Source organism: Homo sapiens, chromosome 15 (assembly GCF_000001405.40).
Source record: "Homo sapiens chromosome 15, GRCh38.p14 Primary Assembly".
Lineage (NCBI taxonomy): Eukaryota > Metazoa > Chordata > Mammalia > Primates > Hominidae > Homo > Homo sapiens.
This window is the reverse complement of record NC_000015.10, coordinates 40533649-40556600: the sequence shown is the minus strand read 5'-3', so window position 1 is coordinate 40556600 and position 22952 is coordinate 40533649. Positions and strand designations below refer to the sequence as shown.

The following is a 22952-nucleotide window of genomic DNA, read 5'->3' as shown; positions in this document are numbered from 1 at the left end:
CTCACAAAGTGCTGGGATTACAAGCGGGAGCCACTGCACCTGGCCTGCCTTACAGAATTTTTGTCAGATTGTAGCCACTCAATGAATTTACGCAGACTAAATTAATGAATTTATTAAGCATCCACTGTGTGATAGCACTGTGCTTGGTGTCATGGAGGGAATGGTGTAAGGAAGTTTTAAACCCATTTGTTTTTGTCCTCAAAACTACTTGAGGGCAGATGACAAATATATATAAAGACATACCTAACAATACCAGGCATTAATAAGAGAAGGGCCAGTTGAGTAGAAGTGACAGAATGTGCTTTGGGAATTGAGAGGCCACTGAGCTCCCTCCTGGCTTTGGTGTTTTGCCATAGAGGGAGGCAGGACTTGAACAGTACCTGCAAGTAGTTTAGATGCAGAAAGATAGAGAGGGCATGCTGCCCTGCCACAATGAGCAGGAATGGGGCTCGACACTCAGGAAATCGGCTCTGCCACTTACTGGTTGTATGTTCTTGGGTAAGTAACCTATGTGTGCCTCAGTTTCCTGATCTGTGAAATGGGAGCAATCAGCTCTTACCTCATAAGTTGTTATGAGGGTTAAATGAGTTACTATTTGTAAAGGGTATAGAACAATGCCTAGCACATGGTAAGCACTATAGAAGTGTTGGCTGTTACTAATATTATCCTTCCTACAGAATTTTAGAGTTTGGTAAGAAATTATTCAAAGTAAAAATCAATGGGGGGGAGTAAAAAATTGAATTTTAACAAAAGATCTTAGGGGAATGTGATTTAACTTGAGTTTCCAACATATGGACATTGGTGTTGAGAATCCCATCATATCAGAAGAAGTACTGCTGCCGAAATCAGGACAGTATGTGAATAAAACTTCATAGGTACATTTACTTGCAAATGTGTAAAATACTTTCACTTACATTATCTCAAATGCTTAATCAGCATGCCTCTAGATGCTTCAGAAATCAGCGTAGCATCTAAGGTCAGGCCAACTCTCCTCTGAGGGTTCAGGAAATTATATACATTTTGCTCTTTTCTATCTCTAAAGGTCCAACCTAATTAAGTCTTAAATTGCTCCAAACATAGGAGATTTGAAGATGCAGACTCCTGACCCACTGATAATTTGGTATTTACTTATATTCTGTCCCCCTGAATACCTCTCTTCTCTCCAGCTCTGAGAAGAAAAGACAAAACTTTCTCCTGTGTCATTTTCAAGTAGAAATCCTCTTTCTCTGAAATCAGATCAGCATGTTCCTACGTATTTATCAATATGTAAAATAATGTAGATTTCCCTTCTCTATGGAAATAATTTGAACAATTTGATGAAAAGTGTGGTAAATGAAGATTAAATGCTGTGTCACACCTGATTCCCCTGAGCTGTGAGCACTAGAGTCAATCAGCCGCTCTCATTGCCCTCTGACATTTAGATTTTTCCCCAGAGCCTACATCTGTGGGAATGTTTCTTTCTATCATTATCCAGAACAAACACCAGGAAACACTAGTTCTTCAAAGTTTATCTTTTAAACAGAGGCCATTTTACAATGGGGTTGTATAGGTCTTCACGTATGTGAGGGCCAGGTAGGTGATCCTCCTTGTGGTATGCTTTTGGCAAGGGAGTAATGGGCTGAGAAATCCGACTATCCAAAACATAAATTCCCCCATATACCAAGAGATGCCTAAAATCTGCTGTTATGGTATTCTTTCTTGGGTTAAGACTTTGTGCTATTGAGGAGCATAGAATAAGGTTTACATTATTTCTAGTCATTTATATTTTACTGTGAACGTCTAATAGCTTTAGGGTATAGGGTCCTGTAAGGAAGGCGGGTAGGGGACCTTGAGCTTGACAATTACATCTCCCCTCTCCCTACAGATCCAAACAAAAAGACAGCCCTCTGGCATAGTGGTCATTCTCTTGTGGGGAATATTTGCTGCTCAGATGTTTTTATCTTAGGGACTTGCTATAGGATGAAATAAACAAACAAAAACCCCACACAAAAAAAAAATCACTTAGTGCAAGTAAGTGCTATAATTGAGTCCCAGACTGCCTCAGCTATAAGAGGCAAAAGATACTCAGATTTCTGCCTCAATAATAATTTGGTATTTATTTGAGTGTTTCTTCCCCTTGACAATTTCTCTCCTCTCCTGTTTTGAGTGAAAAAAGACCTATCTTTAGGTCTTTAGGACTGAGGCGTAAACTCTTCAGCGGTTCTCATCAAGCCTTCAGAGGCTCTGCATTTGAAGGGGGCCTGCTGCTGCCTGTAGTCAAAGTGCCCACTATGGGGTAAATTATGCGCAGAGCTGCCAGGATGCACAGCTGCCATTAGGAGTATCCTTGTACTTCCCAGTTTAGCAGTGAAAAACAATTGTAGGAAGAAATTGCTGGTGGGCGGGAAGGTAGTGTTTGAGTAACTGAGATAATCATTAAGTAATTAATCAGTGAGGTCTGACACAGCCACCCTTTTATTCTGCCCTTTCATAGCACCTTGGAACATTTCAAGAGGTGGCTCCAGCCAGATAAAGTAGCCGTCAGCACAGAGGAGGTCCAGTATCTGATTCCTCCAGAGTCACAGGTTGAGAAGCCAGTGGCCGAGGACGAGCCAGCAGCCGGGGACAAGCCAGCAGCAGCAGAACAGTAAATTACACACACACACACACACACACACACACACACACACACACACACACACACACACACACACACGCCGAGCAGCTGTCTCGGGTCCAGAGCGAGCAGCGTGGAGCTCAGTGACAGCAGCAGGGAGAAATCCACTGAAGGAAAAAACCCAAATTTCCACTCCACAAAGAAAACAGCTGCAAGCCCCCAGGGACTTACCTGGGGCTGGCATGTGTGACTGTCTCGGATGAAGTGACTGACCCAGTGCACACTGGATCAAAATGCTGCTTTCCTCTGTGTCTCACAGCTTGGCTGAGCTCTGTCTCTGCAGGTTAGAAGTCTGCTAAAGATCAAATGTGAAAGTACTTGGAGAAACTGAGGCCTCTTATGTGTAATGTGTAAGTTAAGTGAGCCATATATTTTCTTGCCTCTTCCGGACATTCATGCTTGTGTCCCAAGCATTCCCTTGGTGAATTGTCACGTGAGTGGGGCCAGTAAGAGTGAAGTCTGCTCCTTGAATCCAAGCCCCATCTGGGGCTTCTCTAACAAATCTGTAGTAAGTATACGGACTCCAGGGAGAGAGGCTGGGCTTCTTTCTCTCATTTGTTCCTTGTGGAACAAATGGGCAAAAGAAGTGTGAAAATGTGGGTGTTTATGTCTGTGTATATGTATTTTTTACTTCATGCATGGCTTCTCCTCCAACTTCCTCCTGCACTTAAAAAGGGCCAGGTTCCAAATTAGACTTGTAAATATGGTGTTAGTGTTTGACACTACTCCTGGATAGTTCCAAACATCTTCCTTGTGGCAGGTTTCCTGGCTGAGCCCGAGCTTCCCTCCCTGTTTATTGTGTTCATGATCAGTATGTGTTTCCATATAAAACTTTTCTCAACGGAATAGCAGTGTCTGTGGTGCTGTTGACTCGATTGCTCCTGGAAGGATGTTCCCAGGCAGCAGGAGGTAAAGACAAATGCATGCAAAGGCATGGGAGCTGGCCACTTTGCCAGCCTCCTGTTATTAGCATGTGCCCTCAGACAGTCCAGACTTTGGTGTTCTGAGGCCTTAGCTCCATGGGCCTTCTTCCTGGGTAATAGTTTACAAATCCCTAAAGATCAGTAGGGTGGCTGTAAAAATCTTCCGATCGAGAGAGGAGCTAAAAGAAAAAATAGAATAAATAAATCTTCTGAGAACATTTGCTTTTTTTTTTTTTTTTTTTTTTTTTTTGAGGTCGCACTTTGTTGCCCAGGCTGGAGTGCAATGGTACAATCATATAGTTCACTGTAACCTCAAACTCCTGAGCTCAGGTGATCCTCCCACCTCAGCCTCCTGAGTAGTTGGAATTACAGGTGCAAACCACTACACCCGGCTATTGTTTGCTCATTTCTAAATCAAGTATTTGTCTTGCCCAAAAGGATAGGAACCAATTAGGTGGTTCCATATACTTGCTTAGTGATACAAATATTTTTATTGTAATATTCAAATATACTTTCCTCTTTTTTTTTTTTTTTTTTTTTGAGATGGAGTTTTGCCCTTGTTGCCCAGGCTCGAGTGCAATGGCGCGATCTTGGCTCCCCGCAACCTCTGCCTCCCGGGTTCAAGCAATTCTCCTGCTTCAGCCTCCTGAGTAGCTGGGATTACAGGCATGCACCACCACGCCCGGCTAATTTTGTATTTTTTTTAGTAGATTTGGGGTTTCTCCATGTTGAGGCTGGTCTCGAACTCCTGACCTCAGGTGATCTGCCCGCCTCAGCCTCCCAAAGTGCTGGGATTACACGCATGAGCCACCGCGCCTGGCCGCTCCTCTTTTTTCCTTCTTTATTTTTTTTTTGTTTTTTTGAGACAAGGTCTCCTCACTCTATCACCCAAGCTGGAGTGTAGTGACAATCATGGCTCACTACAGCCTCAACCTCCCAGGCTCAATCCATCCTTCTGCCTCAGCTTCCCCTGAGTAGCTGGGACTATAGGCATGTGCCACTATGCCTGGCTAATTTTTAAAAAAAATTTTTGTAGAGACAGGGTCGCATTATTTTGCCCAGGTTAGTCTCGAACCTCTGGGCTCAAGCTATCCTTCCACCTTGGCCTCTCAAAGTGCTGGGATTACAGGTGCAAGTCACCATGCCTGGCCCTTTCCTCTCTTTTCATTGACTAATGGTTAACCTTTTTTTTTTTTTTTTTTTTTTTTTTTTGAGACAGGGTCTCACTCTATCACCAGGAGGGCTGGAGGGCAGTGGCACGGTCTCAGCTCACTGCAGTCTTGACCTCCTGGGCTCAGGTGATCCTGCCTCAGGCTCCCGAGTATCTGGGACTACAGGTGCATACCACCATGCCCAGCTTATTTTTTATATTTTTTGTAGAGATGGGATTTCGCCATGTTGTCTGGACTGGGTTAACACCTTTATTAGTAGATTTAGTCGCTTTATTCCTACTGCATTTTATTGGCAGGATACGTGTGACACAGAGAGTGGCTCTCTGTGGCCCCTGGGTACATTGAGGAAGCCAGAATATTGACGGTCATCCAGGCTTGCAGGCTGCCATCTCCACCTGGAGTTCAGATGCCAGGCCTCACTCCTCTCCAGGGCCATCTGATGGCTTTCAGGATGGATTTTTTTGTTTTGAGATGGAGTCTCACTCTCTTGCCCAGGCTGGAGTGCAGTGGCGCCATCTTGGCTCACTGCAAGCTCTGCCTCCCGGGTTCACACCATTCTCCTGCCTCAGCCTCCCGAGTAGCTGGGACTACAGGCGCCCACCACCACGCCCGGCTAATTTTTTGTATTTTTAGTAGAGACGGGGTTTCACCGTGTTAGCCAGGATGGTCTGGATCTCCTGACCTCATGATCCGCCCGCCTCGGCCTCCCAAAGTGGTGGGATTACAGGCGTCAGCCACCGTGCCCTGCCAGGATGGATTTTTTAAAGAAAGAAAAACTAAAATTTTTATTCTCCCTGCATGATAAACAAACAACAATTATTCTTCCTCAGAAACAACAGTTTAAGAAAAAAAAAGCAATGAGGTCCCAAAACACTCTCCCAAAGTGCAGATCATGGGATGGTAAGAGAATGTTTCTGTACCCGAAAATAGTGTTTCTGTCATTCAGGCAAGATTCTAGCTTTGCCTTTTCCCTACTTCCCATTTTCTACCTCAGAAACAGAAATTGGAATATGAGAGGGTGGAGAATCGCTTTAGAGGAACTGAAACAGAGTTTGTAAGTTGAATGGTTTCTAGCCCATGTGTAAACCTGGGTGCGGTGTGAGAGGAGCTCTGCACGACTCCACGGAAGGGAACCCAGTGAGTTGTAGCTATAGTTTCTTAATTGATTTAGAGGTGACAGCGTAAACAATGGCTCTAAAAAAAGGTGAAACTCCATTTACCAAAACCAAATTTGACACTAGCTCCCAAAGCTAACTTGTTAATACAGATTTATCTTAGGCTAGTGAAGTGGCACTAAATTTGAAACTGAGAGTCTTGGGTGCTGTCTTTTATCTGTCTTGTGGCTTACTGAATGGTCACAAATAAGTCAAGTGACCTCTTCATGTTCCAGTTCCTTTTCAGTAATGGGACTAACCATAGGAAAAAATAGTATTGGCCTAAAATGCTGATCTCTTTCCTTTGACCCTGAAAACTCCAAGGAACTCCAGTTAGGGCTTCCTCAACCTAGTAAGATTTGTAAGTTGGTAGAATCTTACTTATCACCCCTGACTTTCTTCCTTCTTCCTCCTTAGTGAAATAGACAGCAAGTTAGAGCAAATGGAGCAATATTTAGTGCTAAAGCTTTAGAGCCAGGGGAGGGTAATCACCAACACGGGCCAAGCCGTAATGACTTGGTACACCCAGAGAAGGCTGGGCTGCAGCCAGGCAGATAACCTAAGGGACTGCTGCTGTTCTCTCCCGGCACACACACGTGCTCATCACTCAGCGCCTGGCAAGATCAGGGCTGGAGTGACACAGGCATGCATCCAATACCTGATCCAGAAATAGGCCCTGGCTGCAGGCACAGCAAGTAAACAAACGTCCCGCCAGCTGTGGCCGAGGTGCACCCTTCCAAGCAGACCTGCCCACCAGGACCATTGCTGGAAGACGGAAGCCCTGGAGCCTCTCCCTGGCCCTGTTTTGGAAGGAGTCCTCCAAGGCTGAGAACAGCCCCAGCCACATGAAGCAGGCAAGGTTTTCTTGAAAATTCTAAATTATCCCAACCAGCTTTGGCCCTACGTCAGTTATAAGACTCAAGATAGGATACTGCCATTGGGATGTTAGGTTTGTGCGAGGGCTGTTTACTTGAGCCCAGAAATAGGTTATTTAAGGCAGAGATTCATTCATCTAACCAATATTTGTTGAGCCCCTGCCATGTTCCAGGCATGGTGCATGGTGTTAAATAAAGCAGAACGGCATCTTCCCACATAGAATGATGGAGGGGGGAGTAGAGCCTACCTCATTAATTCTGTGGAAGTTGTAAGCACAAGGTGCTTTGAGAGCACATGGGAAGGAGATATGAGAGCCCTAGACCAGTTGGAGTGGGGTAGGAGAGAGGCCGTGTTAGGGGAGCTGAGTCCATAGAAATGAATAGGAGTGAGAGGAAATAGAAGAGTAAGAGCATGGGGACCAAGAGGAGTCCTGGAAGAGGAAAACAGCATGTGCAAAGCCCTAAAAGCAAAAGGGAACTTGGAGGATGGAAGGTAGTTCAGTGTAGCTGGAGCACAAAGAACAAAGGAGGGACAGACGAGAGGTGAGGGTGGAAATTACTAAACAAGGCCAGGTGTGAAGGATTTTATAAACCATGTTAAGGAGTTTGGAGTTTATTGTGGGAGAACAGGGAGCTAATGGCTGATTTTAAGAGGGGCAGTGACAAGATGAGATTTACATCTAGAAGGTTATGGCTGCCATGGGTTTGCCATAATTAAAGTGATTGAGGGTGGACAAGTTATTCACACTTGGCAGCGATACATGTCTATGTGAAATGGTTTTTCTTTGTTTTTATTTTCTACTTCAATTTTTCTTGTTATTTTTTCACTATTACAGAACAAGTAGAATCATGTATGGCAGATTGTATTTTCCAAAGATGGCCAAATCAGTGTATCCCATCCCACTCATTCATGTTCCAGTGTGATGTGGACACTCCTCCCCTGAGATCTTCAGTCAATATTCCCTCCCTTTGAACCTGGGCAGACCTATGTAACTGCCTTGCTAATAGAGTACAGCATAAATAATGGGACTTCTGAGGCAAGGTCATGAAAGCACTCCACCTGGGGTCTCTCTCTCTCTCTCTCAGCATGCTCCTTGGTAGTTCTGAGCCGGCATGTAAGAAGTCGGCCACAGAGAGGTAGAGAAGCCCAGGGAGTCCCAGCTGTTTGAGTCTTCCCACCCCAGGCATCAGACATATAAGTAAGTAATTCAAATGATTTCATCCCCCAGTTTTTAAGCTGTCCCAGGTGACACCAAGTGGTACAGAGACAAGCTGTCCCTGCAAAGCCCTACAGATTCAATAAATGTCATGGTTTAAACCACTAAGTTTTGGGTTGATTTGTTACTCAGCAATAGATAACCAATGCACCATAAGCTAAGCTTCAGGTTTTAAGTAGCTAATTTTTAAGTATTTTATTTTGCAGCCCCCTCTAGTCTGCGATGGTTGCAGAATTTAATACTTATGCTGGCTACAGTAGGGAGAGGGGCAAAATTGGACACAGGAGACCAGCTGTGAGGTGGTTGCAGTTGTCTAAGAAAGAGATGATAGTACTTGAGGACTTTTTCCACTTAGGATGTAGAATACTGCAAGAAAATGTCCCTTCCGTCCTAACAATGTGAAAAAGCAGGTACAAAATCATAACTTTTCTTGAGCCCATCAGAAAGCCAAGGCCACAAGGCAACCAAATAAAGGAGAGATAGTGTTAGGGGAGCTGAGTTCATAGAAATGAATAGGAGTGAGAGGAAATAGAAGGAGAGATAGTGACCCATCAACTGTTTCAACTTTGGCAAAGATGTGGCTGTCTTACAAGTGGGTAAGAAAAAGACAATAAAAATGTTAACAAATTTGTAAAGTCCACATGTGGCCTAGCATATCAGTTTAGAATAGCTGAATAGGATTCTAGACACGAGAGTGCGTGCAAAGGCAACCTTTTTTGTACAGGCCTCCCCTGGGGTTCATGGAGAAAAGTGGGAACAGGTCAGGAAAGGGAGGGACTGTTCTTCCTTGGTGATGCATGCATGCAGAGGTTGATCAAGGCGGCTGCTGGTGGAAGGCAAAAAGCCTCAACTTCCACAATCCTCTCCTTTAAGCAAAAGCCTTAAGCCATGGCGGGAGGGGTAACAAACTTTTGCTTCAGTGGGAGGAATAAAAGCAAAACTTATCTGCTTCTGGTGAGGTGTCAAAACCTTCTTGCCCTTCTTGAACAGGCAAAGACCCATTGCTCCTGGGACTAGAAGCAGAAACCCCCTACCCAGGGGCAGAAGCAGGAAACTGTCCTGGGCTGAAGATTCAAGCGAAGGTCCACTCTGTTGTGGGGAGGGCAAGAACTTTGGCTAATCCCAGATGAACCACATATAAGGCAGAGTTTGGCTTCCATAGGGAAGAGGGACAGAAACACTGAGAAAGTCCCACTGCTGAAGCTCGGGTGCCTAGGACCTATTTAAGACTGAAGCCGGGCCAGGGTAACAGAATCAACCCTGCCCTGCCCTGCCTGAGCCTGGCACCAGATCACAAGCAACAGAAGTCTTCTGCCAGCTGAAAAGCTGAGTGTGGGACAGCAGCACTGAGGAAGCCCTGACACCCCAGTCCCCACTCTAAGCAGCCCACCACTAGAGGAATTTGAAACCTGGGGTGCACTGAAGGTAATGAGAGCACAACCAAACCCAAACCCTGTCCAATTCCTAACAAGACTGACTCAACCCCCCAGACCAACAGGCTGACAGAAGAGGCAGCCCCACTCCCAGATACAGATACTATTTACCTCAGTCTCTGCTGTTTTATACACCATGGGCATTCAGTTAAAAAACTGCAAAACATAGGTCAGGCGCTATGGCTCACACTTGTAATCCTAGCACTTTGGGAGGCCGAGACAGGTGTATCACCTGAGGTCAGGAGTTTCAGACCAGCCTGGTCAACATGGCGAAACCCCATCTCTACTAAAAATACAAAAATTAGCCAGGTGTTGGTGGTGTGTGCCTGTAGTCCCAGCTACTCCACAGGCTGAGGCAGGAGAATCACTTGAACCTGGGAGGGTGAGGTTGCAGTGAGCTGAGATGGCCCCACTACACTCCAGCCTGGGCAACAGAGCAAGACTGTCTCAAAAAAAAAAAAATTGCAAAACACACAAAAAGACAAGAAGAAAACAACCCAATCCATTATCAGAAGATGAATCAACAGAACCAGACTCACAAATGACACAGATGTTGGAACTATCACAGAGGGACTTAAAATAATTATAATTACTATGGGGTCTGGTGGGGAAGGGTGGGCAACTTGCATGAACAGATAGGGAATTTTGGCAGAGACATGGAAACTAAGAGAAAGTGAAATGGGGCTGGACGTGGTGGCTCATGCCTGTAATACCAGCACTTTGGGAGGCCAAGGCAGGAGGAGCACATGAGCACAGGAGTTTGAGACCAGCCTGGGCAACATGAGACCTCATCTCACCAAAAAATACAGAAATTAGCCAGGCATGGTGGCTCGTGCCTGTGGTCCCAGCTACTTGGGAGGCTGAGGCAAGAGAATCACTTGAACCCAGAAGGCGGAGGTTGCAGTGAGCCAAGATCATGCCACTGCCCTCCAGCCTGGGTGACAGGGTGAGACCCTATCTCAGAAAAAAAAAAAAAAGGAAAGAAAAAGAAAAAATAAAGTCAAATGGAAATGCTAGAAATAAACATGATATTAGAGATGAATTGCTTCCACAGGCTTTTCAGTAGGTAGGCATAGGTGAAGAACCAGTGAACTTGAACTGGTCAATAAAAATTCTCTGAACTAAAACACAAAGAGAAACTGGGATGGGGGAAAAGCAAAACAAAGCAAAACCTATAAGAGCTGTGGGACAATAACAGTCTAATATACATGTGATTCCAGCCTCAGAAGGTGAAGAGAGAGAGAATGAGGCAGAATAAATCTTTGAAGAGATGATAGTTACATGAATGAGGTGTGGCGGCAAGGCTAGAGAGAAGTGGATATGGGAGCATTTGCAAGGAGAACCACTGAGGCTTGGTCACTGAGTGGAGGGAAGTGTGGCACCTGAGTGTCTGTCTTGGGAGCTGCAGGCTCTCAGCAGGTAGTAGTGGGTGGTTAGCAGGTGGTGGTGCCAGGATGGAGAGCCAAGCCTAGCTCTCCAGTGCCTGTGCTCTCTGCTGGTACCCCACACCACCTCCTACAGGCCAAAGTGGAACAGTAGTGGGCCTTTGCTCCTCGATTCCCTAGCCTCCAGCCCCAGCCTTTCCTAAGCCCTCAATGTACTATTCCTATTAGTCAATGTGTGGCAGAGAGATGTTCATCTCCCCCCATTCTCTCCACCTCCTCTGTCCCAAGTGTTGTGTCACACATTGCTCTAAAGGTTTTCTTTTCCCAAACAAACTGACTCTCTCCTCCCTTCATTTTGACGTAATCCACTTTTAAAAATTACTTCTTTAGCAGATAAGTAGAAAGGGAGGAGGCAAAGGTGAGAGGGATTGTGTGTGTGTGTGTGTGTATGTGTGCAGAAGAAAGCAGATAGGTTACTGAGAGTTTATGAGCATTTTAAAGAACAGATATTTCCAGGACCAGTTTTGGCTCTTTAATCTTACATCCTTTGGGGATGAGACCATCAAATATTGGCTTAGCAGAATGCCAAGGTGCAGTGTGGTCTTCAGCATGGTGCCTGATCAAGGCAGACAGGATGCGGAGTGTACATTGGGTAAGAGTATGGTAGAGGAGACCCACAGTTGTTAGAACAATCATCCCAAAGGTAAACTCTTGGATTGATAAACTGACATGTTGTTGGTTTCTTTTTCCTCTGTTCAGCTCAACATCTTTATCAATGATTTGGTTGAGTGAATAGAAGGTAACCTTATCAAAAGTGAGAGGAGTAGGTAATTGAATAAAAGAATAACAATTCTAAAATTTTTCTATAGACTAGAGTGATGGGACAAAGTATGAAACATGATACAGATAAATGTGAAATCTTTCATTTGGGATCAGAAATTAACTACACAACTAGAGGACAGAGAAGAACAGAGTATTTATTAGTTTGTTCTAGTGACAGAAGCCAAGAAGCCAGACTCTGGAAAGTTTTCCAAGGCTGTTGAAAAAAAAAAATCCAAGCCGGACTCAATTCTAGTCTAAGACATATAGAGCTGGCTTCAGTTAGCTGGACCTCAGGACTCCAGCAGTATCTTTAGCCTCTCTTCCTCCCACTGTTGACTCTCTCTGTGTGTTGGTATAGCACAGGGAGCTCTGGGCTGACATGATTCCAGTTTAGGAAGTCCAGAGGAAAGATAACACTTTCCAACCCCATATAATAGATGCCAGGGGGCTCCGCACAGTGGTTTAGGCTTAACAATCCCAGCACTTTGGGAGGCCAAGGTGGGAGGATCACTTGAGCCCAGGAGTTTGAGACCAGCCTGGGCAACAGAAAGAGACCCCGTCTCTACAAAAAAAAAATTTAAAAATTAGCCTGGCGTGGTACTGCATGCCTGTAGTCCAGCTACTCGGGATGCTGAGGTGGGAGGATTGCTTGAGCCCAGGAGGTTGAGGCTGCAGTGAGCTATGATTGCCCTACCGCACCCTATCCTGGGCGACAGAGCAAGATCCTGTCTCAAATAAATAAATACATTCCAGGGGAGGGACTCAGATTGGCTTGGCCTGGGTCACATGCTCATCATTGGAGCACTGACTATGACAAGGGCAAGATCTATGGTTAGGGGTACAGGATACTGTGGTAAACAGTCCCACCAGAACCATATGAGAATGGGAAGTGAAAGAGGATTGCTGTTGGCTGAAGAAAGGGGAAAGTGGTATGGAAAACCCCAAACAGGTGTTCAGTGTCTTAACAGTTCAATGGAGTCAGCAGTGTTATGTGCTGCTAAAAAAAAGTTATAATTCTAGGAATCAATAGTGGAAATGTACCTGTGTACCTGGGACATAGTAGTGTAAAAATATATTCTGCAGTGGTCATGCCTCTCTGAAAGCATCGTCTGGGCACCACATTGCAAGAGGATGTTCTGCAGTGAGCAGGTCTATGCAAACCTACCCCTAAAGGCCAAGAGAGCTGAGGGGCCAAAGAAACAGGCTGACAAGCCCGGGTGCAGTGGCTCATACCTGTAATCCCAGCACTTTGGGAGGCTGAGGTGGGTGGATCACGAGGTTAGGAGTTTGAGACCAGCCTGGCCAATATGGGGAAACTCCATTTCTACTAAAAATACAAAAATTAGCTGGGCACGGTGGCGTGCGCCTGTACTCCCAGCTACTTAGGAGGCTGAGGCAGAAGAATCTCTTGAACCTGGGAGGCAGAGGTTGCAGTGAGCCAAGATCATGCCACTGCATTCCAGCCTGGGCGACAGAGTGGGACTCTGTCTCAAAAAAACAACAACAACAACAACAAAAACAAAACAGAGAGAGAGGCTGACGAATCTAGTTTCTCAGAGATAAATGCTTAATAGAAACTTATGCACAGAAGCCATACCTTGGTTGGTCACGAGATGGTGGTTTCCATGCCCGCCCTCCAGAAAGTATCCTTTGTATAACAAGTTTTTAGGGGAAAACATGTGCAGCTGGTCACACCTCAGACTTTATTGCAAGTTTCATGACCACTGGGGAGGTTAGATAAGCATCTTTATGAGGGGTTATTTATGCTACAGGCATTCTTTCTTTTCTTTTTTCTCTTTCTTTTCCATTTTGTTTTTTTTTTTAGACAGAGTCTGGCTCTGTCACCCAGGCTAGAGTGTAGTGGCATTATCACAGCTTATTGCAGCCTCAACCTCCCGGGCTCAAGCTGTCCTCCCTCCTCAGCCTCCTGAGTTTGCTGTGACTATACCCCTGGCTAATTTTTTTTTTTTTTTAAGAAAAGTCTCAGTATGTTGCCCAGGCTGGTCTCATACTCCTGGGCTCAAACAATCCTCCTACCTTGGCCTTCCAAAGTGTTGGGATTATAGGCATGAGCCACCCCACCTGGCCAGGCATCTTTTTTTTTTTTTTCTTTTGAGACAAAGTCTCGCTCTGTCCCCCAGGCTGGAGTGCAGTGGCAACCTCTGCTCCCGGGTTCACACCATTCTCCTGCCTCAACCTCCTGAGTAGCTGGGACTACAGGTGCCTGCCACCATGCCCGGCTAATTTTTTGTATTTTTTAGTAGAGACGGGGTTTCACCGTATTAGCCAGGATGGTCTCAATCTCCTGACCTCGTGATCCTCCCGCCTCAGCCTCCCAAAGTGCTGGGATTACAGGCATGAGCCACTGCGCCCGGCCCAGGCATTGTTTCTTGACCTTGCCACAGGAATGCCTTGGTATGCAGGAGTCAAACATCAGTCATTATGGCAGTTTTGCTTCAAGGTGGTGCCATTCTTGCAACAGGGTCTTTTCCTACAGAGGAACATCGACAAACTGCAATGCTCCCTAGAGGAGGGGTCCAGGGTGAGCAGGCTCAGATCGAGTTATTTGAAGACAGGACAAGACAATAAGATTGTTTTCCATAGAAAAGAGATTTAAGAGAGACCCGGTTGGCTTTAAAATATTTGAAGGAGTATTGGGTAGAAAGCTGAGACACACTGAAGTACAAAGGACAAACTAGGACCAATGGCAGGGAGTTTCAGGAAGACCAATTACCATTCAGTGTTAAGAACTTTCTAATAGCTGTTCAACAATAGGGTGGCCTTGTAGAAGATAGTAATTCCCTGTCACTGGAGGTGTGTCAGCAGATGTCAGAAAGGTTGTAAAGGGGATTCCTGCATTGTGTAGAAAGTTGGATCAGGTCACCCCTAAGGTCCTTTCCAATTATGAAAATCTGTGGTTGGCTACTGGAGACCTATGGGGGCTTGCTGCTGTTAAGTCAGCCCTGGTCTCCCCAGCATTTGGGAGGGAGAGCTGGTGAGTTCTTCTTTCTCCTCCCTAGATAATAATGACAAACACCTGATCACCTACCAGTCAGTGGTCAGAGGCAGAGCCCTCCAACAGTTCTTATCTTAGCTCAACCCTGAGGGACAGACTCTTGGGTTGGAAGATCACAAAAAGGTCGCTCTTGTGCTGTTTTATGTTCTCTGAACGTGTACCTTGAGACAAGGACCTGTATGTAGGTGGCTGATTTTAGGGGGTGAGCAGGAGTGAGGGAGGGAGGAGAATGAGACAGCTCCCTGTGTTGAGTAGGTCCACTGTGGGTAGTTAGGGCTGTCGCCCTGGGATCACTCTGAGGAGACATAAAGATTATGGCTTAGGCTAAGCGCGGTGGCCTGTAATCCCAACACTGTGGGAGGCTGAGGCGGGTGGATCACCTGAGGTCAGGAGTTCGAGACCAGCCTGGCCAACATGGCAAAACCATGTCTCTACTAAAAATACAAAAATTAGCCGGGTTGGTGGTGTGTGCCCATAGTCCCAGCTACTTGGGAGGATGAGACAGGAGAATTGCTTGAACCCGGGAGGCGGAGGTTGCAGTGAGCCGAGATGGAGCCACTGCACTCCAGCCTGGGTGACAGAGCGAGACTCCGTCTCAAAAAAAAAAAAAAAAATATTACAGCTCAGAATTTTGCCACTGACTGACGGGGCACATCTGGGCTGCAGTTCCACCAGTGCCCATCCTTCATTGGTTGAGGTTTGCTCTTTGGAGGTATTAAGCCCCTGCCACTTTCAGGCAGCCCTGCAGGGGCTAAGAAAAGCCTCACGCAGAGGAGAGAGGAGGGAAACTGAGCATGTACCAGAAGCATCCGCTGCAGCTGCGGCTGGTCACAGAAATGGGCTGGAGGGATGTGAGGCAGCGCGTGAGCATCTGGCACAGTCTCTTTCCCGCCCAGGCCAGGATCCGCCTTCCAGGGCTGTGCGGGACCTTTGGTTTTGACATTTTGGTCTCTGTGGCCCAGTGTGGGAAGTGGTTCTCCCCGGGGGTGAGTTCAGCCCAGCCTAGTCTGAATGTCCACACACTGCTCTCTTGGGTTCAAGTCTTCCTTCTTGGCCCAGCTTCTCACTGGGCTCTCTGGACTGAGGGCACCAGGGCAATGGACGCTCCAGGCTGGCACCTGTTCAACACTCATATGTGAGCTTGGAACATGGTGACATTAGGGGCACTGACTCTACTGTCCTTTCACACTGTGGTCAAGGTTAGGATAGATGAGAGACTGGCCCGGCCCCAGAGTTTCCTGTATTGACAGCCTAATCATTTTCTAAGAAGAAAATGCTGGGCTGGGTGCAGTGGCTCACACCTGTAATCCCAGCACTTTGGGAGGCCAAGGCAGGCAGATCACCTGAGGCCAGGAGTTGGAGACCAGCCTGGCCAGCATGGTGAAACCCTGTTTCTACTAAAAATACAAAAAATTACCCAGGCATGGTGGCAGGCGCCTGTAATCCCAGCTACTCGGGAGGCTGAAGAAGGAGAATAGCTTGAACCCAGGAGGCGGAGGTTGCAGTGAGCCGATATCACGCCATTGCTCTCCAGCCTGCACAACAGAGCGAGACGCCACCTCAAAAAAAAAAAAAAAGAAAAAGAAAAAGAAAAAAATGCTAAGAAGAACGACAAAGAATTCAAAGACCCTGAGAAGCCTCCCTCAAAGCCTTGGAGACACTTCAAAGATGGGAAATCATGGCACTGATGTTAGAGGCAGTGTTCCCTGCCAGGCACTAAAGGCCAATCCAGTTGGCCCAGCCCTCCTGTTACCACTCCTCTGGATTGCCCTAGTCAGAGCTCTGAGCCTGTCTCTCTCTTCCCTGATCCCTTCTCCCACCCTCTGGGCCCCACACTCTTGTCTGGTACTCACTGTTCAGTCTGTCTTTTCCCTCCTCTTGCCCATTCATTACCTCCAGGGGCATCATCATCTCTGAGGTTCACACTTATTCCCTAGATTTTGCCGCAATTTGAAAATCAACCCTTCACACTGTTCCAATGCCCATTTCACCACCTGGGCGAAGTGAGGCTGAGTAGGTATTTATGATGAGTTTGGGGTGACATGGAATCAAGGGCAAGGAGCGGGGTGTGTGTGTGTGTGTGTGTGTGTGTGTGTGTGTGTGTGTGGCAACAGTTTGATCACTCTTATTAGGGGAGGGCCCCTCTTAAGGTGGCAAATGTTGTCCAGCCAGAGGAACAGCCTGGCCAACAAATCAACTCAGACAGACCCTGCCTGACATCTCAGAGAGCAGGAGGCCAAGAGAGACCTATTGGGCAAGGAAATTTCCTGGGATGGGAGCAGGGGCAGCGGAGAGCTGACTGCCTTGGTCTCTGCTTTTCCTCTCTTCCTCTGCCTGGCCTCTTGCTGTGGTGCCACGGGCCCCCGTGTCCCCTGTGCCTCCGTTTGTCTCTTGTCTCTGTCTCAGGCTCCACTTTGCTTTATTTTTCCTGCAGTCCTGCACGGCTGAGGCTGTGTCGACACCTCACTTCCTCGCACCTTCGCACTCTCGGTGCTCCTATGTATGCCTGTCTCTCTTTGACTCTGTTAGTGTGTGCCTCTGACTGTATCTGTCTATCTTCCTCGTCTCTGTCGGTCTGTCTTATTCCCATAGGCCCTGTAACTCCAGAACCCCTGGCAGCAGCAGCTTTTCTGAGGATGGAGCGTGGGACAGCCACCAGTGTGCTGAGCAGAGGTGGCGAAGGACATTTCCAGCCCAGCAGTCGTCATGGTAACAGCCAGGGCGGGCCAGGCAGGGATGTGCAGAACCATGTGGGATTGACCTTTCTGTGGTGTCAGGTTTGAGCGGGAGCTGGGGAGAAACAGCAACAACTACTTCCCTCTGGCCCAGCCCTCAGGGCTTCTGGGCTGGGCTGAATGAAGAAAGGGAGAAGCTGAGAAGTGGGACAGCTGGCGAGAGAGCCAAGAGAGAGACAGGGCTTTAGTCAGAGCCAGCTAGAGAACCCATGGGAAGAGGGACAGGCTGGTCACCAGCAGGCTCCTGCGGTGAGCCCACCTGTGGCAAGCACTAGACCTCAGGCCCCCAGTTGGCAGCGCTCATGGGTGGGTACTAAAGGTCAGTTCCCTATACTCAGAGCTCCCCCAGACTCCTTCAGATCAAATGTCACCTTTTCCATATTGCAAAAGCCTTTATTGCTCTAAGGAAAACATGCTAAATTAAAAAGAACCAAATTATTCTTTTAAAAATAGAAATATTTTAAATGGAAAAGTTCAAAGAAAATAAAAGGCTTTCCAATCCTCCCTCTGCTTCTCCCAGCTCTAAAATTCCTCCACAGTTGCTTCCCATGCCTGCCAGGTTGGAGGAAAGGGACAGGCCTGGGCCCAGCGGCCTCTTCTCTGACAAGGGCACAGAAAGGGAAGCCGGATTGGTCGTTGCCTGAATTTGAGGGGGGCTTGGACTCACAGGCTTCCCGCTAATTCGAACCAGTGAAGGAGACTCATTTCCCTCTATGCCCCCTCTTTCTCCTATTGGGGCGGACATACAGGCAGCAGAAAGAGGTGCCCACAGGTGCCCTGTGACCCCTTGAGGGAGAGGCGAGGGGTGCAGGGCAGCCTCAGGTGAGCTCCATGGAGAACATAGCTTACCAGTGGATCCCATTTCCAGACTTTCAAATCATGGCCATGCAAGAGATCTCGAGCTTTCTGGGACACACTGCTATGGAAAACAAGACCATAGCCTCAGAATAAAAAATGTGGTCTTCTTATTTACTGAAAATCTACCTTCAGGAAAGACATGAAGGGGGCACTCACCAGCCAATAGGTGGGTAACTTAACACAGCAGCACCACAGGCTTTCTTTTATACAGGAGTACAGTCCCCAAATCCCCTTGGAGAACTGCCTCTGGGCCACTTGTACAGGGGAAGGGGACACTTGGCAGGAGAGGGGACCGCAGACCTTGTAGTCATAAGTTAGCATGCTGCTAAAAGACTATTTGAAATGAGTGCTGATTACATATATTTAAAAGTGGTCAGCATTACTGAAGCTCCAGCTTTTTTTTCTGAGGCGGAGTCTTACTCTATCACCCAGGCTGGAATGCAGTGGCACCATCTCGGCTCACTGCAACCTCCACCTCCCAGGTTCAAGCAATTCTCCTGCCTCAGCCTCCCCAGTAGCTGAGATTACAGGTGCCCACTGCCATGCCTGGCTAATTTTTCTATTTTTAGTAGAGACGGGGTTTCACCATGTTGGCCAGGTTGGTCTTGAACTCCTGACCTCAAGTGATCCGCCCACCTCAGCCTCCCAAAGTGCTGGGATTACAGGCATGAGCCAACGCGTCTGGCCAAGAGCCAGCATTTTTGAGACTCGAACCTTTCTCTGACTGACATGTATTGTGGAGCTCAAAATAAACATTCTGTATTTTGGGAGTTGGTCATCACTCTCTAGTTATGCTCCTGTAGAGCTATTACTGAACCTCTGGCCTCTTCCCTGGGTTCTGGAAACCTTCATGTACCCGTGGCCCCCAGAGCAAGGGGTAGGAGACAGGAAGGCTGCTAGTGCCCCGATGGTCCCACACGAGGCTGGGACCTTGGGACACAGGCACTGCATCATTCACTGTTCCCTGCATGGGCTTCAGGAGTGGATGAGAGCCCAGGGCCAAGCCCCTTCCTCTTTCGTTCTGCCCAAGCCCCTTCCCTCCAGCTGCCTTCCCTCCTTGAGTCCCTTGATTCCTCTGTGATCCCCCCTCCAGCTCAGCACCTGGGGCTGGCACCACTCCCCAGGGATACTGATAAAGTCACAGAGCATCTGCCCAGCGCCTGAGGTGGTGTAAGTTGGGGAAGGTGGGTCATCCTGTTAGTTGCTCCTGCCAGGCCTGGAGCCCCTGGTGGTCCTTTAGAATTCTAGATTCTCTTGGTTCCTTTCTCCAGAATCCTTCCCTTCTCGCTCCACTCATGCTCTGGGCCAGGCCCACCACGTCTCCTGGCAGCTGACTATCTCATGCCACCTGCCTTTGTTCTCTATTCCCTTTGCCAAAACCATATTTTCTGGTGAATCCCTCTTCTACTTCAAGGTTCAGTTCAAGTGCCACCATATAAGTGAAGCTGTCCTCAGTCGACCCTAGGTGACTCTGTGGCCCCATGGAACTTTTTCTCATCACCATCGTAGCAGTCATGACTCTGTTTTGACCTCCACTTCTCCACTGGAGAGTGTGTTCCGTGGAATGAACTGGCTTGTAGTGTGACCTGTGAACCTCCAGAGCTTGGCTCTGTGTTGCTCATTGAGTACTTGTTCTTGCAGTGGGCCCTTGCCAAGAGAGGCCCCTGTTCTGGGATGTGAGCCAGAGAAGGTCCGAGACTCATAATTTCATGTGTCATACTCGTCCTCCACCCAGCTCCCCCTGGCCAGATCACAGCCCCCTCCTGCTGCAGGGCCTGTAGTGCCAGGCTGGTTGCAAGACAGGGGTCCTCACCTCTGAGAAAATCATGGCTTGGCCCATTGGCACCCCACCTGGGATGCAGAATGGAGCAGCAACAGCTGGCTGGTGTCTGAACGCTATTTCCCCAGCCCTGGGCAGCCATCTCCTGTAGCTGTTCCCTCATCCCATGGCTTTACCAACCCCTCCTTGCTGCACTGGAGAGCCTGAGAGCAAGTAGGTTCAGAGTGGGAAGACAGGGCTAAAGGCATCTTCCCGGTCTTCTCTCCTTCCCCTTCCTCCCAGCAGTTGCAGCTGTGCTGCGTGATGATGTGGAACAGAGCACAGTCTTAATTACTGCTCAGCCCTGCTCATTAGTGCTTCTGGAAGCCCAAGAAGCCAGAGTTAGGAAGCCTCAATCACAGTGGAGACCCAGGCTGCAGGCCTCCTGGGTGATCGCTAGTCCTGTGTCTCCTGGTGACTTGGGACCCCTTTGGGGGACTCCAGCAAAAGACACTCCCTCCAACCCTGAGACTGGGGAAGGGCTGAAGCTGGAGGGAGTCACTGCTGGATTAAGGGAGTCGCTGCTGGATTAACCTTCCTCATGGGCAGCTCTGATCAAATACCTATGTTTCTCTTGCTGACAGCATAGAGTCTGGAGTCCTTGGCTTAGCAGTCAAGCTCCTCCACAATTTGGTCCCACAGGACTTTCCCAACCTGATTTCCTCCTTCAATCCTGGCAGACAAGGAGGGAAGGCAAAGGCTAGGCCCCCTCATGGGCTCTCACTAGTGTGTGCAGAGCATTTCAGGGACAGCATATGGTGGAACGTGTGAAACTCCACTGCAATCAGAGAAAGATGAACGAATGATTAAATAAACCACATGTGCTCAAATCCCGCACACTGATGACTTCCCTGCTTTTGGAGAGACTTAGCAAGGAGCCTGGTGTGTTGTTCAGCATGCACTATTTTTTTTCTTTTTTTTTTTTGGTTGTGAAAAGGAATAAAGAACCATGAAGTGCCTGAAGACTGAACGAAAGGAAGCTGAGTGGAGGAGGAGAGAAGGGGCGGGCCCTGAAAACTATAAATCTATAGGCCCAATTTCAATATGTGGAAAAACTCCTTCAAAATATAAATTTGTAAACACCCTAGATCAAATGAGAGAATGCTCATGAAAGCACTTTTTGAACTGCAAAGGGTTAGAAATATAAAGCATTATTCTGTAATATTTCTGTTCAGTGCAGACTTTAAAACAGATGCTATGGAGAGGCTGGAGATCTATGATAATGGCTCATCACCTACAAGGTGCTCATACAGTTTGGGCTGTTTCATTTAATTAGTCATTGCCTCTCATGTAGACTACTGCAGAAGTCTCCTAAGTGGCCTCCCCACCTCTGCATTCTCCCCCATTCCATTCATCTTATATGCCACCGTCACGTTAATCTTCCTGATGCACAGCTCTGATCAAATACCTGTAATGATTCTCCTGCTGACTGCACAGAGCCTGGAGTCGCTGGCTTAGCAGTCAAGACCCTCCACAGTCTGGTCCCCCAGGACTTTCCCAAACTGATTTCCTTCCATCACGGCAGGCATGGGCTCGGGAAGATCAAGTCACTAAACCCAAGACCACACAGATACCAAGTGGCAGATCATACAGCCAAGCCTTCAGACCCTGACATCTGACTCCAAGACCATTCTGAGCCCATCACTTCCTCACTTTGATGGTGCAATGGACTGTGTGTTTGTGTCCCTCTAAAATATACATGTTGAAACACTAATCCTGATGTGATGGTATATGGAGATGGAACTTTGGGGAGGTAATTAGGTCATGAGAGTGGACCCTTTATCAATGGGATTAGTGCCCTTACAAAAAGGGGCCAGAGACCTAGCTAGTTCTCTTCTGCCATGTGAGGATACAATGAGAAGTAGACAGTTGGTGATATGGTTTGGCTGTGTCCCAATCCAAGTCTCATCTTGAATTGTAGTTCCCACAATCCCCACGTGTGGTGGGAAGGACCCAGCGGGAGGTAACTGAATCAAGGGGGCAGTTTCCCTCATGCTATTCTTGTGATAGTAAGTTCTCACGAGATCTGATGGTTTTAGAAGGGGCTTCCCCCTTCAGTCGGCTCTCATTCTCCTTCCTGCTGCCCTGTGAAGAAGAACATATTTGCTTCCCCTTCTGCCATGAATGTAAGTTTCTTGAGGCGTCCCCAGCCATGCCAAACTGTGAGCCAATTAAACCTCTTTCCTGTACAAATTACCCAGTCTCCAGTATGTTCTTATAGCAGTGTGAGAATGGATTAATACAGCTGGAGACCCAGAAGAGGGCTTTCTCCCAGAACTGGACCCTGCTGGCCCCCAATTCTCAGACTCCAACCTCGGAACTGTGAGAAATAAACCTGACTAAGGTTAGACCTGACTAAGACAAATGGATACTGCTGCAGTGATCTTTCCACATAGAGCTTTTTCTCTTCTTTGCAAAAATTTCCTTAGGACAAATTCCCAGGAGTGGGATTACCAGGTCAAAAGTCATTAATATTTTAAATGGCTGTGTGAATTGACATAATGCTTCACAAAAGAACTGGGCTGATTTATATTTTAGCCAATGATGTAGATATATACAAGTTTCACCAGCCCCTCTTGGGATCTTAGCCCTTCTAATGCCTGCTTTCTAACGGCATAGCGAGAACATATTGTAAAAGTAATTTGATTTCTTCATGTGTTATTCAGGGATTGCTCTCATCTCCTCCAAGTCTTTGCTCAAATGTTCTCGGTGTGGTCTACCCCAATTACTCTATTTCAAATGAAAACACTCCCTCCTCCTAAACCCATTACTCTCCTTACTCTGCTATTTTTACACATTATTTGGCATCTTATAATACATACTTTTCTTATTTATTATGTGTATCCTTTTTTAAAAAACGTGCTGAAAACTCTTTATAACAATGCAG

At 47.2% G+C, this 22952-nt stretch overlaps 1 protein-coding gene across 13 annotated transcripts in view, besides 4 other annotated features; it reads left to right on the top strand.

The window, feature by feature from the left end:
• CCDC32 (coiled-coil domain containing 32) overlaps window positions 1-22952 on the top strand; it is a 44050-nt gene that overhangs the window by 8442 nt on the left and 12656 nt on the right. For 7 of the 13 annotated variants that reach the window (NM_001382436.1, NM_001080792.4, NM_001382442.1 and 4 more), the window contains exon 4: window positions 2474-3502. The exons of 4 other annotated variants lie outside the window; for them this stretch is intronic. In NM_001382436.1, the coding sequence (NP_001369365.1) occupies window positions 2474-2630 (157 nt within the window). In that variant the 3' untranslated portion in view covers window positions 2631-3502. Of the gene's footprint in view, window positions 1-2473; window positions 3503-17245; window positions 17363-21002; window positions 22262-22952 lie in introns of those variants that run through there. 2 more of the 13 variants (NM_001382437.1, NM_001382438.1) reach the window with 2 other exon arrangements.
• Window positions 1969-2589: an enhancer, noted in NCBI's record as "OCT4-NANOG-H3K27ac-H3K4me1 hESC enhancer chr15:40846211-40846831 (GRCh37/hg19 assembly coordinates)". NCBI's record gives its function as "activates a minimal SCP1, AML or CMV promoter by ChIP-STARR-seq in naive H9 embryonic stem cells {active_cell/tissue: H9 hESC(naive)}" and the evidence as "EXISTENCE:reporter gene assay evidence [ECO:0000049][PMID:30033119]".
• Window positions 2969-3058: an enhancer, noted in NCBI's record as "active region_9248". NCBI's record gives its function as "activates an Ori minimal core promoter by ATAC-STARR-seq in GM12878 lymphoblastoid cells {active_cell/tissue: GM12878}" and the evidence as "EXISTENCE:reporter gene assay evidence [ECO:0000049][PMID:35858748]".
• Window positions 12565-12664: an enhancer, noted in NCBI's record as "active region_9247". NCBI's record gives its function as "activates an Ori minimal core promoter by ATAC-STARR-seq in GM12878 lymphoblastoid cells {active_cell/tissue: GM12878}" and the evidence as "EXISTENCE:reporter gene assay evidence [ECO:0000049][PMID:35858748]".
• Window positions 12815-12914: a silencer, noted in NCBI's record as "silent region_6338". NCBI's record gives its function as "represses an Ori minimal core promoter by ATAC-STARR-seq in GM12878 lymphoblastoid cells {active_cell/tissue: GM12878}" and the evidence as "EXISTENCE:reporter gene assay evidence [ECO:0000049][PMID:35858748]".